Genomic DNA, 15,714 nt, shown 5'->3' on the forward strand with positions numbered 1-15,714 from the left:
GCCTGAAGTCAGCAATGATTAAACTGCCCCTTGAAACCCTTAGCTACTTGCACGTCTCTTTGTCTTTGGGGTCTCATCTCAGCAATTCGTTTCAGCTTCAGTCTGCACCAGGATCTCAAATCTGTCATGGCGAGGGCAAGAAGAAATGCCCTCCTAACAAGACTCTGGGCATCGCTGGAGCTGCCTGCAATCCAGACTTCCAAAGACTCATATTCTTCATGAGCAGGTAACGAAGCTCATAGGAACAGGAGAAACTGCACAAAAGCAGAAAATGACAATTCAGAACACACACCCATCCAGTGATGGCATTAAGGAAATCCTCAAAGCCCTTAGCAATGTAACTGCCAAAAGAAAAAAAAAAAATGACTTCCTATAAAAAAAAAAAAGGGCCCAAGTAGAAGTTATAATAAGGATCCATATACATACTGCAGGTTATGAAAATTACTGCAGCATTAAAAGTGATAGTAGAATAATGTCATCTAGTGTATATGAAATCCTGGACAATATAAGATGGGTTGCTTAAGGATAAAGGCTAATACTGCTTAGAAACACCAGGGAAATAAGAACTGTATGTAAGAGGAAAAATATTCACTTGGTATTTCTGGATCACCTCTCTGCTCTTTGCAGGAGAGTAAACAGCATTTCCGGATGGCATCTCAGCAGTTCTTTACATTGAGAGAACTTCTTTCTTTCTTAAGCCAGGCTCTGCTGTTTGAGCTGAAAAGTTCGGGAAGACATTATTCCACATTATTTCTTCACTCCCCGTTCTATTTCTAAAATCTCACAATGGATAACAGAGAGGGCTCTCTTCTATTGTGGAGAAGACTGAGAACTAAGGGAAGCATTTGAAAAGGGGCAGTTTTGGAAAACTGCACACCAACGGTCTTTTCTAAGAATCCAGACACAAGACCTATGCAGCTGGAATATATTTTAAAGTGTCTCCTCCAAATTCTCAATTTTAAAAATGAGGAAAAGAAGACTCAGGGCAGTGAAGTGACTTGCCTGAGGTTACACTGACTTCATGGCAGAACTGGGTCTAGTAAAGCCGTAATTTACATTTTATATATGGCTGTATAACGTTTAAAGCCCTTTCTCAGATATGATCTCATAAATACCCTACGGAGGATATCACTTTTTTTCAGATGAAAAAATTGAGGCTAAGAGAATCAGTAATTTTTTTTTCCCTAAGCTTACACAGCTAGTAAGGGGTGGATCTTTTTAAGACAGGTGTCTGGAATCCCTCTCTGGTATCCAGAAATTGCCTGTGCCAAGTGTGTGGCTAGCATGCTAACGTCCACATCTGTACCAGGCTCCATTTGTCCTGATTTGCTCTAAATGTAAGCTACGCCATCCTCTCTGCCCACACCCCAGATAAGGCTTCTTGCCTGTGCATTACTGAGTAAAATATATTCGGGCAGCTTCAGGCACATGCTGTACTGAGAAAATTGAGACAAAAGGCTAAGGATGTTTGGGCACAGGCAAGAAGCTAGATTACAAAGGTACATCACTTTCATATTCATTTGTACATTTTTCCTCATAAGAAAATTAGGCTTTAATGTAACCTCAATTTCAACCTTGTTGCTTTATCGCCCAGAGCCCATTAGAGAGCTATTTCCCAGGGCCAGGAACTTATGATTGGAGGTCAGGAGGCTGGGGTTTTAATCGACTCATGATGAAGCTGCTTTCCTGGGGTGTCACTCACTCTTCTGTCTCAGCTCTGCCCTGTTCTCAGGGCGGTGGGTAGGGGGTGCACCCTACATAAGCAGTGAGGATTTTTCTTAATACACCAGAGGCTGAGTTAACTGCCAATGAGGCGAGGGGGGAGCAGGGAAGGGGATGGGAAACGGCTTCGTTCATTCACTCACAGACCAACATATATCAAAACTGAGCAGCTAAAGCTTGCAAATACACTGCCCAAGATAATGTAAGGGCAGGATGTGTTCCCTGCCCTGGGCTAAACCAGGTGTCTAATCCATATTAGGGGGCACATGAAGAGCCCCTGAGGAGTTTCACGTGTCCCAAAACAAACAATCCTCAAAAAATTCTTCATATAAAACTATCTGCAAATTGGGAATGTTCTCACCCACTGGTTCTAGATGCACACTGGAAACACCGAGGTAGGCTTAAAAAATGTTGATGCTTGGGCTCCACAGCCCTTTGGAGATTCTAATATAATTGGTCTGGGGTGTGGCATGGGCACTGGGATTTTTTAACTGTCCCTTCCCCGTCTTCCAGGAGATTCTAACATGCAGGCAAGTTTGAGAAGCACAGCTCCAGCAGAGGCCTAAGCCAGATTTCCCAGCCGGCCTCTGACCTGAAATGTCTCCCTAACCTCCATGTCCATACCTGGGAAATAAGAGGGAAGGGCATGACCCTTCTGTCTACTTCCTACATGCTGGGGCCAACCATTCCAGGTACTTGACACCTCTGGGTAGGATGCTGGTGAGAACACCGGAGCAATTCACTTCAGCCTGCTGCAAAATCCTCGAAGTCTCGCTTATCCTACTAAATAAAATGTTTATCAGGCCTCAGACTTCAAAACATACATGCGAACAGCCACTGGAGGCCTGTGAGAAGGTTCCTTACCCGCCAGCACCTAGCACAATGCCAGCTCTGCTGATTCCCTTCAAAGCAGATTTCCCTTGCTGCTTCCTGAGGTCAGCCTCCTACCTCTTAGCCCATTATGCAGCCTGGCACCCCTGCCATTTAGGTGTTGGCTGCTTTTCCTTTAAGCAATTCCCTTATCGGGGCTCAGGGATAATGCAAACATCAGGAAAATACTATTTTTATATTCTAGTGGGTACAGCTTATAATAATTCATGCTGGTAGGTTTTGTTTCCTATATATTTGGATCCCGACTGCGGTCTACCTCCAGGCAGGAACAAAATGGATGCAGTTGGAGGCAGCGGGGGAGGCTCCTGAAGCGTTTGATGCCGATTCAGCACCCTCTCTGCCCCTCTGAGAGCAGAGTGTGGAGTCTCACAAGTGTTGCTTCTCATCAGGAAGCTCAGGAGACCAACAGCAAGAGGGACGCACTGGAACATGGCTTTCTAGCCAGAGAATCCCAAGAGAAGAATAACCCTTTAGTTTCCGATGTAGGTCATTCTTTAAAAGCAATGCCTTGTCTATATTTATTTAACTATTTTTTAATCTTGTTTTATTTTTTTCCCAGCATAACTTTTCCTCAATTCCTTTGCTTTTCAAATCCTGCCTGGGAGCAATAAAACCTCTATCAATAAGACTTTAAAACCCAGGCTCTGTTACTAAGGAGCCTTGTAACTCTGAGTACTCAAAGACTGAACCCCTCTCTGAGCCTCAGTTTCTCCATCTGATAAGAAGATCACACTTCACTAGCTGATTGCTAACCTTCCACTCTGACCTCACATGACTCTATCACTGTAATCCCCTTTTTATTCCATTATAATCTTTGGGTCTTATTTCCAGCATCTAATCCATGGCAGGCATTAACATGATCTTTCCTTATACAACCCATTCTTATTCCACCCCTGCAAAAACGCAAAAGAAAAAGTGTGTGTTTGGAAAGGGAGGGGATCAATTGGATTTTTTCAAATTTAAAAATGTTCATCATCAACCTTTTCTGTGATTGCAATGTTGGTGGTGATGAAAATAAATTGCCTATAAAATATAAAACTGTACCTTTTTGGTCCACTAAATGTCATATTTTACATCTATTAACACTAGTATTCATACCAAAAGCCAACTATCGTATTATTGTAAAAAGTGCATCTTGTGAGGGCAAAAGGGATAAGGATACTAAAAAACGTGACACTGAATGCCCTACACATGTTTATGGAATCTTATGGTGTTTGGGTATTATCCTTGTTATCTCAGGTAGAAAGGTGTTATCAAATTATAAACTTGGGGGCTGTTGCTATCAAGAGCAGTTAATTTCTTTATTGATACTATTAGATTACAAAATATGTCTATTCCACTAACCCGACAAAAAGAGCACAGTGGTGTGAAACAAGTGGGCACAAAGAGCCAACAAATTTCGTGGAATTCATGCTTATTTCAGTTATACAGTATATCAGATTGTTCGTTAGATCACAATGAATATGTTATTATTTGATCCCAAATATTCCTTTTTGCAAAAATTGGATTACAAAAGTAACTTTATTATACCATTTCAATTATTTCCCTATGAACTAATTCTTTTTAAAAATTGACAATGCTTCTGATTCCTCTGTTTAGCAAGAATTTTCTTGTTCTGTCCTTCCTCTTTTCTCCTCCCAGTTCCAAATCAGAAGGGTCAACAGGAATACACTTAAAAGTCCTATTTTCCACCAAAGCCCTAATATCAAATGCTTTTGATTTGAATAAAATCGGTTCCATTAGCACATTCTTAAAAAATCAATTGGCTAAAAGGTAGTGAAAAACCATCACATTTCCTGTGAGCAGGATTGTATTGCCACAGGAATGGTGGCATAGGATCCAGAAAAGCAAAATTTCATGTTGGGAAGCTGTGCTATGATACCAATTGACATAAGTATTAATGTTGTGATCTTTTTGAAATCTTGTATTACATTAAATTATAGTTTCGCAGCTGTGTAAGGAGCAATGGGAAGAATTCTGGTCACTTTTCTTTAAAAAGCTCCTCCTCTGGGGCTACAAGGAACCAGGCTTGGCTAACATAAGCAGCCCTCCAGTTGACAGCCAGACATAGAGTCTCCACACCCTAAAATCATCAAAGGCTCTCAGATGTCTTTTCCCCTCCAGCTTTATTACAGCCTAACTGACACACAAAAATTGTATGTGTTTATAATATATGCACAATGTGTATACAACCTGATATTTTGATATATGTACACATGGTGAAATGATTAAATCCAGCTAATCAACATATCCATCAACTTACACACCTTTTTTTGTACTGAGAACATTTAAAATCTACTGTCTTAGCAATTTTCAAGTTTATAATAAATTATTTACTATAGTCACTTCATTGTATGACATCCAGAACTTATTCATCCTAACTAAAATTCTATACCCTTTGACCAACATCACTTCATTCCCCCTCCTTGCTTTTTAAAAAATGACTACTGTATAGGGACAGTGAAGAGTATGAAATAAGGAAACTATCTATTTTCAAAGAGTTGTAATTAACAAGCTACTGGTTTTTTCACCTCCTATTGTAGATGCCAGATAGAATATTCACGTCTTATCTTGTTTGAACATCAAAACACTCTCCCACATACACCTGATAAATATCACTATCTCCATTTTACAGAAGAGAAAATGGAAATTTAAAGTGTTTAAGTAACTTACACAGGACCTCCCTATTGGAACTCCATGAGCCTGCGATCAGCCCACGCTCTCTCCACCATTCCATGCCGCTGGAGTGCACCACAAAGCAAGATAAAACACCAAAGAGGAAAGCAACTTAGGTTGTTAAGTCAATAAACTAAGGCAAACAACACTGCATGCATTTTATTCTTCCAATATATTTTTGGCGGAGAACAAATTGCCCTGGGAGAGGTATTGTATAATTTCATTTGGAGCCTCATCCTTCTGGTAGCAGCAAACTGAAACACACACACACTAAAATCAGATTGCAATTAAAATCCAATTATAAATATATTACTATATTAGACACCTACCCAGGAAAGATCCAGCAGGGGACCTTCTCTGAAAGGCAGTGTGTCACAGTCTTCAAACTGCTTCCACGTGTACTTCTGACTGTGCCCCCTGACCTTGAGTGTGTGTTAAACAATGCTTGGCAGTTTTTCTCTGAGTGGAAAGGACTCAATTTATGTCTCATCATGGAGTAAGTTTAATAATACTATTACCAATTTGCTTTGGAGAATGACATGCAAGGAATATTAAATCTTCCTCATGCAGACTATTAAACAAATTAAACACAGCATTTAAACTGGTGGGATTCAAGAGATGGAATCTGTGTGAGGTTAGGAAACGGAGCCACAAAAAAAGGTCCACATGTGATGTTCACACCTTTTCGGCTCTTTGTTCAAACTGTACGTTATATCTCTGACTTGAAATGTCTGGCAAACAGATCTCCAAAGCAATGGGCAGTCACATCCCCTCTACCCAAAGCTTTGTTTTCTTACAACATGATGCACAAACGAAATGAATGGCAATCAACACCAAGTATGCATCATGTCTGACGATTCTGGAGTTTCCTTTCAGTTGCCTTCTAGAAGATTTGTGCTGCTGGCATTTAAGTTGATTTTCTTTAATTTGACAGAACATTTCAACAGCAGAACTCAGGCTTCCAATATTTTTCAATAGTTGTCCTTGAGCTCATTTGTCATCATTAACACGGGCCATCCAGACAGATCACCCAGCACAACTCCATTCACCCGTCCAGTTCTCCGGTGAGGGTGCAGTACCTGGGCTGGCTCTCAATATTTTTAATTTATGAAAATGTCTAAAGGCCAGCCACCGGACCCCCACAGTTTCTTTTTAAGTGGTCTGGCATAGACTATGAGGCCACACTGTATGCATCAGCTTCTTACAGCTATAGGACAGGTGCTAATTAATCTACCTAATTATGCAGTCCAGTAGAAGAGGCTTACCCATAGGATTTTAAATCTGGAGGAAAAAAACAAGGGAAGGAGAAAGGGAGGGAAAATGCTTTTGGTTTCACACTGAAACATAATTTCAAGAGTCAGCTTATTTATCATTTCTACTTAAGTTGGAATGATTTGTATATTTTCCCTATATCATAATTGCTGTGTGTGTGTATGCACACGTGTGTGTGTGTGTGTGTGTCTGTGTGTGAGTGTGTTTCTGCAAGGGTATACTTTTAAAGCACTAGAAAAAAACAGCAAATTGACCGGAGAATTATTAGCTTACCTTTATTTTTTAAACTGCAAATACAGAAAGAAAAAAAAAATCTAAACAGTATATAAACTTAAAATCAGTCACATGAAATGTGCAGGATCTCAAATGATGCTGTAATTCCAGCAGGCTCCTGTTTGCAGTTAACCACTTACAGGGCCAGTCACTGGAATTCCCTGGGCATCCACACAAATGAATATAATTACAGATACCATGAGCACAGACCTATGACGCTGTTGATTACGTTAGATAACTCAGGGATACGGGGAGAGAGAAATCCTGGGGTGTGCAATCGATGTTGTCACATATATTCCCATGGTTTTTCCAGCTTTACGGAAGGGTTGAAATGTTCTTTCTCTGGTTCCAACTGCCAGGGACACATATGAATGCTGTGATATCTGTCAGGGAAGGGGAAATAACTCCTGAATTTCCTCCAGGGGAGTAAAAGCAGATCACAAAGGATCTAGTGTCTCAGAACACAACCAAATATTGGCAATGCATCCTGAGACAAGAGTCAAGTGCTAAGCAAAGTCAATCAGCACACGATGGCCCCAGGAATGAGAGCAACCAACCTGGTCCTGCACGCTCATTTACATGGGACCCAAGAAGAGACACTGGCCGTGGCACCACGTGCCTGCCTTGGGCCCACTCCCTTCTACGAGTGCCCTTAACCCTTTACAAAATAATAACTAGTGTCATGAATTAAAATAGCTGAAAATAATTTTTAAAAATGAATAATTTAAGAATTCACATGTCTCGTTAACACTAAATGACTTTCCAGCTGGGCAGAAAATCAAACTCTGCATTTGGCAGTTTTACAAGTCATTATGGAAATATGTCTACTCTTCATTTGATCTCCTATTTCTAGATATCTTCCCCAATTCTAGATATTTTCCTTCTCTATATGTTACAGAAGGTATTTCAAAAGGCTAAAAAATTGGGTGCCATTTGTGATTCGAGAGGGATAAAAAAAAGAAATAGTAAAATACCTGGCGATTTAAAATGGCAATGTTTTCTTGAAAACATTGTGTTAAGTGAAAGAAGCCAGACATAACAGGCCACATATTGTAATGATTCCATTTATACGGAATATCTAGAAAAGGCAAATATACAGAGACAGAAGGTAGATTAGTGGTTTCCAGGGACTAAGGAGAGGAGGTTATGGGGGATGATCGCTTAATGGGTACAGGGTTTCTGCTCGGGGGGATGAAAAGGTTCTGGAACTAGATAGTGGTGATGGTTGCACACTGTGAATGTACTTAAAGCCAATGCCTGGTACCTTTTTAAATGGTAAATTTTATGTTATGTATAATTTGCAATAAAAAATGTGATACTGTTTTAAATGGTAGAGTTTAAAGCTTGGGTTCTAATGAATGACAGTTCAGTCAAAGGATCAGAAATTCCGGGCACTCTGCTAACCCTACCAGGGCTTCACAAGGAATTTAAAAAGAGAAGGACAATGCTTCCATCTCCCTGGTTTCCTGTCTTAATCTTCTGATCTTGAGATCTGCCTGCAACTGAAAGAGATGCAGAACTGGGAAAAGAGGAACAAGGAGGCAGATCCCCACTTTCCCCCACCTTTCTTAATCAAAAAGACCAACACACATTCAGTAAACAGGGTTTCCAATGTATTCCATTTCCTCAGAGTGTTTACAAACAACAAGAAATGAAAGGTGTATAAGATTACTGCTTATAAACTCCAAACTGCTCTGCATGGCTGCACCCTGATAGTGTCTCCTTTCCTTATCAAAAAGGAAGAAGAAAAACAGGAAGAAAGCAGAAAGGGAATGGAGAGAAGGAGAGATGACAGTATCATTAGACACCTCTTGGGTCATGAGTGCCTAATGAATATCTTTCCATTGCTCTGAAAAGAAATAATATATTAGTTATAATATTAGCATAATAATTTACTGGTTATTTCATCTATAAAATGGACACAACTCATATTTGTTTTGGAAGGGATGAGATAAATGTACACATCTGATTTCTGATGCTGGGAGTTGGCTCTACATGATCTCAGAGCCAAAGACTTCAAAATCTTCCACAACCCTCTCATTTCACATGTGGAAAAAAACAAAGGCTCAGGAAAGAAAATATCTGAAAAGATGATATTTTATGGTGGGCTTTATAGGTTTTGATTCTATGAAAATGGAAGAACCAAGTGAATGCTTTGTGGACGCACTGCCTTTCGCAGTGTGAGATGTTTTGGCAGGAAGGTCTGCTTAGAATTCAGAATTTATAGATATGAGTTCAAACTGTGTTTCGCCATTTGATAGCTAAAGTATTGAGTAAGTAATTAATATATTTGGGGCTTAATTTCCTCCTCCATAAAATGGAGATAAGTATATCTAGATATAAGGTCACTTAAAGGATTAAATGAGAAAAACACAGGTAAATGATTTAGCACAGTACTTGGAGCAGAAGTACTTGGTACATGGTAGTTGTTGGTAGCATTACTACTATTAAAATCCACTCTAGAATGGGTGTTCCCTAAACAGTTCTTTCAACTTTTCTGCACATTTCAAAATGTTCATAATAAAATGGGAATCACATTTAAAAAACATAGGGCTTCAAGAAGAAATAAAGAAGAGAAGGTGAGCATCTATCTTCACAATTACTCCTGGTATCACTGAGACCCAGCCAAGTTTTAAAAACAATTCATCAATAGTGGTGAAGCCCAGGTCTCCTGACTCCAAATATAAGTCTAACCAATATTATATGCATATAAATAACTTCAGTACACGTGTACAGTTCAGACGATGCACCTACTACTCAGCCCTCTGTAATATCCAGTGAGGCAAAACCCAAGTCACTCAAGAGTGGGAAGGATTAGCGTGCTATGGTTGGCCAACCAGGTCACACCACTTTTGAACACTGGGTGTAAACTTGATGGTCACTAACATTCCTGACCATGTGCTTTTACCAGGATCTATGTCACTAACTCTCTAGGTGGCCTCATCCCACTTGTGATTCAGCAAAATGCTTTCACTCTTTGTGTATTTATCTGTTAATAAATAAATCCATGTTTTAAAAGTTTTGAATTGTCTGTAGAAAATAAATCTAGACTCTTTCATCAGAGACTTCTAGCAGATTTCAGCAGCATTTGCTGGAGCAAGGTGACTCCAGCATTTCTCTAGAGGACACAGCTGCAGGCTCTTTGGAGCTACTCCTGGGTTGGGGTGAGTGGGGACTGAGGACTTCCTGGGGAAAGACTGAGGGAAATTATAGGGGACTTTGGCCATCCACTGGAAAACTGGAGGAACTGGGATCTAGTTACTCATGCTATAGAAGTAATAATGTTATTAATAGAACATGTGCTACACTACTGACTATCCGTTAGACAGTGCTTTAAGCACTTTTAATGTATTCACTCATTTAATATGAAATGAAAGGCAATGTGCCAACATCGGAGCTCAATTTGGTACAGTGGAAAAACATACTGAGCAGAAATTCCAACGTGGGCAGGGCTGGGGAAGGAGTAGGGCAGGAGTGAGAAAAATGAAACTGGACTCCAGTTCTGCCACCAAACGGATGTGTAACTCTAAGCAAGTCATTTCTCCTTTTTTTGGTAAAATTTCATACTTGGCAAATAGGAAAAACTTCACTTGGAAAAAACAGCACTGAATTGGAACTGGGGGTAGATGCTGTAACCCTGATTACTAGTGGAGATGGAACTTATGGGTAGAATTCATGCCCCTTGGGGCATTCTCCATTGCCTCCCTCACTTTCTCCTTCCCTCCCTCCCTCTCTCTTTTTAAAATAGAAATCAGATTTGCATTCAAGTCTTTTAAAAAAGGAGGAATTTGCTCACTAATCTATCTATTCCTGGTATAAAATGGAAGTAGAAATTCATTGAAATGCATGTAATCTAGGGGTTTACAGAAACAGTATCATTCCAGAAAAATGAATTCAATTTGTTTTAATTTCCTCAAAGTTTAACCACATTAAATGCTAGCATATATACATGTCAACAGGAAAATTATTAGGTTTTTTTTTTATCTTAACGGATGTTTGAATGATTGATAAACCATGACCTCCATCAAGACAAAACAAAGACAATTCAACAAAGTGTCTTACAGCTCGATTGTTCTTGCTGTTTACAAAGTTTTTTCACGGTAAAGTATAATTACCCTTGACCCGATTTTATAGGCATTACATATCCCAGTTCCGGATAAAAGGATAAAAGACTTTTATCCTTCTTTTCAATATTATTTTTATAGTAATCACAAGATACTTTAATAAGTAAGGTCAAAAGATAAATAATGAAAATGTAGATTTCAATATGCTATAATTCCAGTTGTAAAAAAATGAAGTGCAATAACTTAGGGTTTGTTCTTTAGCAATTATAAACATAAATAGAATTTCCTTCAGCTTTTACACAGATTCTAAGTCTGCTGTAACAGTCCTGCTGTCAGAAATGCAAACAGCTGAAAGAACAAACACCAACTTTACCTACTATTCTATAAATAAGGTTAAACTATACTGCTGGCAGGGGAAACGCAGCCCATAAATTTGGTACCACCATTTGCTTGGTACATTTATATGATTGACCTGTATAAATGTATGCTGTTTTCACTGTTGACACTTTTATAAATATAAAGAACTGCTGAATAAATCCGGCTATATATCTCTTTGTATCAAAATGGAACACTCGACTGTTGTGAAATCTGGCGGTTAATAAAAATAGCCTGCTTTTTTATTAGCTTCATCCAACTACGGGAACAGAATAGTTTAACAGTAACTAAGTATGCTTCAAAAGGTAACTCTCTAAAAGTAAAACTGTAAATACTAGAAAATGTATCATACTAGAAAAGGTATAAAGGGAAACATTTTGTTCATTATCCCCCCACCAAAAAAAAAAACTTGCCCTGTTTTTTAAGGAAATACTTTTCAAATTATGCATATAAAGTAATATCGATCAGGTAATATATATAATGTTCTGCATGGTAACTGCTAATGCCCTGTGGGGGTGTAAAGAGAAAGCCATTCTTCTTTGCATCTTCCTGAGCCTTGTAACCATGGAATAGTCACAATGTGCATGGCAGAACTCTCAGAAGACTTAAGGTAATGATTGGAGTAACAGTAAAATAAATTACATTTACCCTTTCCGCAAGGTTACATAACCACCTTATGAAAACAAAACAAACGAAACCAAAAATGACCCAAAGTAAAAAGAATCTGGAGAAGCATCTATGAGGATAAAGAAACCCGGAGAGTTGAGGGCTGATGGCTGATCAGAGAATGAGGTCCGCTGACTCTAATGTCAGGCAAGCCCAGGGGAAAGGGTGAGTCACAAGTCGGGATGGCCAAGGAGGGCCCAGACAGACAAAAGTTTTGTTGGCTCGAATGGAGGTACTCTGGGGCCACGACTACATTCACCCCATGAACTTACCTTCTCTGTTCTCCTCCAACCTGAGATAAACCAGTCCTTTCTTGAAATTGACTGGGTGCTGTGGCATTATACTTAAGGTTTCTTTTTAGTTCCAGGAATCTGGGAACATTTGCTATGATGCCACCCCCTTACCTTTTCTAACGCCTACCCTTCTTCCTACTGCATCATCAGGCTCAATGAAAATAAATCTTTAACTGTAGCAAAATACACTTAAATTCTTCCACAGGAAGGCAAAGGCTCATGAACATCTTGCCAAAACACAACTGAAAGGAGAGGCCAAGTTTGTTTGTTGAAATCACTGTCTGGTTTCTTTTACTATATGTCTGATTTCTTGCAGACTCAAGCAGGTAGGTCACTGATTTCTGGAACCACAATTTACTATGTGAACAGCCCTGGGTTTCCTTCCTTTGCCCTCAGAACTGTTATTTGGGACTCAGGATGAGCACCCTGATTTAGCCATTTATGGCTCAATGAAACTTTATGTCCCTCCCTCAGAGTCTAAGAATTGGCTTGGCCAAGCCAGCCTGAAAGTGCAGAATGGTCTGCCGGCTTATTGATGATCTAGAGTGTTCATACACTAAGGAAAGTTTCCTCATCAGTTTGATTTTAAAAAGATTCCCTTTCCCACTTAAGAACATCTAGTCCAGTAACAACAAAGAGCATGGGCTCTGCAGACTGCTGCTGGGCTGTGAATACCAGCTCCCTATGTAAGGTTCTGTGCCTCGGTGCCTCATTTACAAGGCCAGAGGTTCTAACAGCATCTCATAAACTCTGCAAGGCAGGAGCAAAGAATCCCTGGAAAACATTGAGGAGGGTGCCAGGAACAGAGGAGGCACTCAATAAGTATTAGCCTTTACTATTAACCCATTAAAAATGCTGCAAGAATTCCTATTCTCAACCCCTTGGGTAGGAATAATAATACAAAACTATGCAATGGTCCAATGTTGATTTATTCAAACACAAATGTGCTTATAAAATCACATTCTAGATGATGAAATGCACACCACAATGTTCAAACCTTAGACCTTGTTCTGGTTGTCCTTGGCGCAGTATACATGACACAAGCAAGCATCTGACAGGTGTGACCACACTTTGAGACTCTTCAGAGTTCTATGGGCCTTTGGAAGGGTGGGCAGTTTCCTTCTTCAGTGGGTCACTCACTCACTCCCCAATCTTCTACTTACTACCGCCTATAGAATCATAGACCCTGTCCAATATACCACTATCCTGAGAGATTTCAAGCCAAAAAATACCCTTCCAGGCCACTTCCATGCCACTATCCTGAGAGATTTCAAGCAAACCCCTGTCCAACATACCACTGTCCTGAGAGATTTCAAGCAAAAAAATAGCAGTGGCTCATGCCTGTAATCCCAGCACTCTGGGAGGCTAAGGCAGGCAGATCGCTTGAGGCCAGGAGTTCAAAACCAGCCTAGCCAACATGGTGAAACCCCATCTCTTACTAAAAAAAAAAAAAAAAAAAAAAAAATCCATAAAAATTAGCCAAGCGTGGTGGTACGTGCCTGCAGTCCCAACTACCTGGGAGGCTGAGGCATGAGAAACACTTGAACACAGGAGGTGGAGGCTGCAGTGAGCCATGATTATGCCACCACACTCCAGCCTGCGCTACAGAGAGAGACTCTGTCTCAAAATAATAATAATAAATAAATTTAAAAATAAATGTTTGCTTTAACAAAACTTTTGTATTATGTGTTCCTACCATAACTTTGGAAAACTAATAGTATCTATTCTACTTACAGCAAGTGCAGACACAAACTACCAATAAAGCCTATTTTGTTTCCCAAAGTGTTAGAATAATATCTAAGTGTGATAGTTTTTCTCACACTTTGATGCTATTCTCACATTTGTAATGTTAGAAACTTGTATTTCCACATCAAAAAAAAAAAAAAAAAAAACCACAACTATCACCAAATCCTAAAACCATGCGGCTACAAGATTCCAGTACATCCTTATCCCCCTGCAGAGCTGCTTTTGCCGGGTACCAGGGAAGCAGAGAGCAGGACTGCTAGAAGCAGGGGTGGTGAACTAAGAGGTAGGTAGATATGATAAGCTAGCCCATTGGAAAATCTAACAGACACCGAGCATCACTGACAGCCAAACCACACATGGTCTCACATTAAACAAGAGAGAGCCAAATAAGTGCCTAACATCTTGACCCAACTAGCCAACTTGCTGCCACCTTTGAAACACTAGTAAAACTAACCCATAGCTGTATATAGGCTAAGATGAAGAAAATGAAAATGGAAAGCTGTGAGGGGAAATAAAAGCTTCCAGCTCATCAAACGTTCAAGATAATAGGTTACCAAGATGTCCAGGTGGTATTTGTTTGAACATCTTTGTTTATCACTTGTCTTCCTTTTTAGGTATCGACCCTGGTTTAAATTTAGTGTGCCGCTTCCAGATTTATTTTCCACTCTTCTTGAAAGGGGGTGGAAGAGTTCCTGGCCATAGAAGCACAGAAGCTGGCCTTCCCTCCCCCACCCAAATATTACCACCCACCCTCCCATCTGAAAGATTTGTCCACAAGACCATGTGAGAATTTCTTCTTATACTACCTAAATTATCCTCCTATATACCATTTCCCCCCATTTTGTTTCTTAAACAGTTATGTGATGCTGACAGGCACTGTTATCCAGTTGTTACGTGTGATGCTAGAGTTGGGTCCATTTTAGTGGTGCTGAAGTTCATAGTTAAACAAATTTGTAGCCAGTATCAAATGTTTGGAGTCTCATCTACAGTTATTATCAACAACTCAAGCAAAATCATTTAAGTCCTTTTTTTCTTTTAAAGGGTAGTTACTATTTTTTTCATTAAAGAAAGAAATGCAATAGACTACAATGAGACAAAACACATGAGCACATGTTACCACAAGACAGAACTGGGGAAGAAAAGGGATTTTATTTCTCGTAAAGAAACAAGAAGTGGAGACGCAGTCGAAAGAGCTGTCCTTCAGAACGAAGGGTTTCAATCAGTATAATTCAGAGTTACTGGGACTCATGAACCAACTCAAGGCTTGAAGTGAGGATGCTAATCATAATGATGGCAATTATAACACATTCCACGGCAAAGCATTTGAAACTTTGTTCACAGTGCCTTCCTCTACAGGACACCATCTCTTCCTAACATTTATGGTCTTAAAATAAGGCTCATGAATATCACCTTTATTTTGAGTCCAAAGTCAAGATGGCCTCAGCTTTACATAAGATATTTCCTGGAATTTGCTCTTTTGGCATCCACTCATTCCAAGAAGAGAAGGTCCAGCATCCAATGACTGGAGACCAAAGCTGATAAGAGTCCCCTCTAAAAAATAAATAAAAAAGAAAGAAAGAAAGAAAGAAAGAAAGAAAGAAAGAAAGAAAGAAAGAAAGAAAGAAAGAAAGAAAGAAAGAAAGAAAGAAAAAAGCAAGGGTGTCCAGGGTGGCAGAGTTCTCTCTCCAGACCAAAATAAACATGACCAACATGTAAATGAAAAATAAGATCCTAAC

The 15,714-nt window shown here is 39.6% G+C and overlaps 1 protein-coding gene and 1 long non-coding RNA gene across 13 annotated transcripts in view; both read right to left on the reverse strand.

The window, feature by feature from the left end:
• The window catches only part of LOC107984805 (uncharacterized), a 129,290-nt gene extending 115,187 nt beyond the window's left edge, over nucleotides 1–14,103 (reverse strand). For all 11 annotated transcript variants that reach the window (XR_007064660.1, XR_007064657.1, XR_002957761.2 and 8 more), the window contains exon 1: nucleotides 1–14,103. This exon is cut by the window's left edge. This is a non-coding gene — a long non-coding RNA (uncharacterized LOC107984805).
• RORA (RAR related orphan receptor A) overlaps nucleotides 1–15,714 on the reverse strand; it is a 741,019-nt gene that overhangs the window by 633,191 nt on the left and 92,114 nt on the right. The window lies entirely within an intron of this gene.

Source organism: Homo sapiens, chromosome 15 (genome assembly GCF_000001405.40).
Source record: "Homo sapiens chromosome 15, GRCh38.p14 Primary Assembly".
In the NCBI taxonomy this organism is placed as follows: domain Eukaryota; kingdom Metazoa; phylum Chordata; class Mammalia; order Primates; family Hominidae; genus Homo; species Homo sapiens.